The 2073-nt window shown below is 50.3% G+C and overlaps 3 annotated features.

Moving 5' to 3' along the window:
* Nucleotides 1257-1366: an enhancer, noted in NCBI's record as "active region_21156". NCBI's record gives its function as "activates an Ori minimal core promoter by ATAC-STARR-seq in GM12878 lymphoblastoid cells {active_cell/tissue: GM12878}" and the evidence as "EXISTENCE:reporter gene assay evidence [ECO:0000049][PMID:35858748]".
* Nucleotides 1487-1556: an enhancer, noted in NCBI's record as "active region_21157". NCBI's record gives its function as "activates an Ori minimal core promoter by ATAC-STARR-seq in GM12878 lymphoblastoid cells {active_cell/tissue: GM12878}" and the evidence as "EXISTENCE:reporter gene assay evidence [ECO:0000049][PMID:35858748]".
* Nucleotides 1867-1966: an enhancer, noted in NCBI's record as "active region_21158". NCBI's record gives its function as "activates an Ori minimal core promoter by ATAC-STARR-seq in GM12878 lymphoblastoid cells {active_cell/tissue: GM12878}" and the evidence as "EXISTENCE:reporter gene assay evidence [ECO:0000049][PMID:35858748]".

The following is a 2073-nucleotide window of genomic DNA, read 5'->3' on the forward strand; positions in this document are numbered from 1 at the left end:
CTCTGTCTCAAAAAAAATTAAAATCCTAAGCCCCCAACAACTGAATGGACCCCCTTGCGGTCAAGGGGACACCAGTGGCAATAAGATACCAAATTATGAATAGGACCTAAGGTCATGCCAGGCAAGGGTTAAGTCACACACCCTACATTTAAACTATATTCCTACTGCCACACTGCTTTTCTTTTCCTCTTAGTAGCTCAATAAGCACTGGCCTTGAGCTAAGCAATATTGGAACAGTGCAGTGGCCGAGATGATGGCTCATGCCTGTGATCCCAACACTTTGGGAGGCTGAAGCCTCCAAAAGGATTGCTTCAGGTCCAGAGTTTAAGACCAGCCTGGGTAACAGCGAGACCCTATCTTTACAAAAAACTTAAACAAAAAGGCTAGGCACTGTGGCTCACACCTGTAATCCCAGCATTTTGGGAGGCTGAGGTGGGAGGATCGCTTGAGCTCAGGAATTCGAGACCAGCCTGGGCAACATAGCAAGACTTCATCTTTACTAAAAATCAAAAAAATTAGCCGGCCATGGTGGTGTGTGCCTGTGATCCCAGCTACTCGGAAGCTGAAGTGGGAGGATTCCTTGAACCTGGGAGGTCAAGGCTACAGTGAGCCCAGATGGCGCCACTGCACTCCAGCCTGGGCGACAGAGTAAGACCCTGTCTCAAAACAATAAAAACCAATTTGCAGTTCCACCGGATGCTGACTGATCCCCCAGCCCCTATTCCACCAGCCATAACTACAGTTTCATTGGACAAGAGACTGATTTCAGTAACTTGGTCCAGATAAGAGACCACAGTGATGGACCACTTCTGGCCTGTGTAGAACCTCATTATAATACATTTTAAATGTTAAGTCTCCACCCCAAAGTGAATGTGGATTGTATGTTTGTTCAGGATGCATGCGTCAGGACTGCCTTCATGAATATTCATAGCTCCTCCTGTCACCTGCTGAATATGCATGTTTAGCCAACCCATTCAGCATAAACCTCCTGCCCCAACCCCTCCTCCTCCTCCTCTGAAGTGCCCATCTCTGGTCTTGGCCAGAGGCTGTGCTTTCCAGTCTGAGGGATGGCCATCTTGCAGGCTGTTAACTATTTTTATTTTGAGACAGTCTCACTCTGTCGCCCAGGCTGGAGTGTAGTGACGCGATCTCGGCTCACTGCAATCTCTGCTATCCAGGTTCAAGCGATTCTCGTCAGGCTGTAACTTTTTAGAAGAAATAAACTCTTCTCTAAGTTAACAGTACAGAGCCAAAGAGTCCCAAGTACCTGTGAGTCACAGGGCCTGGCACAGTCAGGGCCCATAACAGCCCCTCAGTAGATGCTCACTGGATCTCTGTTGTTGGTTAAAGCAGCGCCTGGCTGTGTATGCAAAAGAATGCCAGTGAAAGTACCAGGCTGGAAAGAATCTGAAGACACTCGTAGCGCAGGAAACTAGAGCCCACTGTCATATCTTTCAATAGGATTACGTGTACTGTTTCCCCAAGAACCATCCTGTGGGTCAAGAAGCAGAATGGGGAAAAGGCAGCAAGCACTCACTGTCCGGTTGCTGGGGTGCTCACCTGAGGGCCCAGTGCTGTGGGGAACCCCAGGCTGCTGTCTTGGCTGCCCTAGGTGCTCGGCTGGCAATTCCTGGGCCACCCTGACCCACAGTGAGGTCAGTAGAGACAGCCTGGTGTCCTCACAGGACGCAGCTGCAAACATAAGTGAACCGGAAAGGCTGCTCACTCCTTGGCTACCCATGTGTCCCCACATCAGTTCCTGCATCTGGAAGCAGCCGCAGTGGCGACCACACAGTGACTTCCCCCAGGACGTGTCTCTGCCCCTCCCACCCTGCTCCTGCAGAGGGCCCTGGGTCAGGGGTTCTCAAGACCCCAGAGTCCCTAACCAGAAATCAGAGGGGAAGGTTCCTACTGTACCCGCCTCCCAACCAATGGGTTTTTCCTCCTTATTCTGAACAAAGCACGCCACGCACGCAATTCCACCTCTAAGGTGGCTTCTCCAATACCCACAGGCCATTCTCCAACTATGACAAAAGTTTGGTTTTAATATCGGGCAACACAAAACACAGTACA

Source organism: Homo sapiens, chromosome 4, assembly GCF_000001405.40.
Source record: "Homo sapiens chromosome 4, GRCh38.p14 Primary Assembly".
In the NCBI taxonomy this organism is placed as follows: domain Eukaryota; kingdom Metazoa; phylum Chordata; class Mammalia; order Primates; family Hominidae; genus Homo; species Homo sapiens.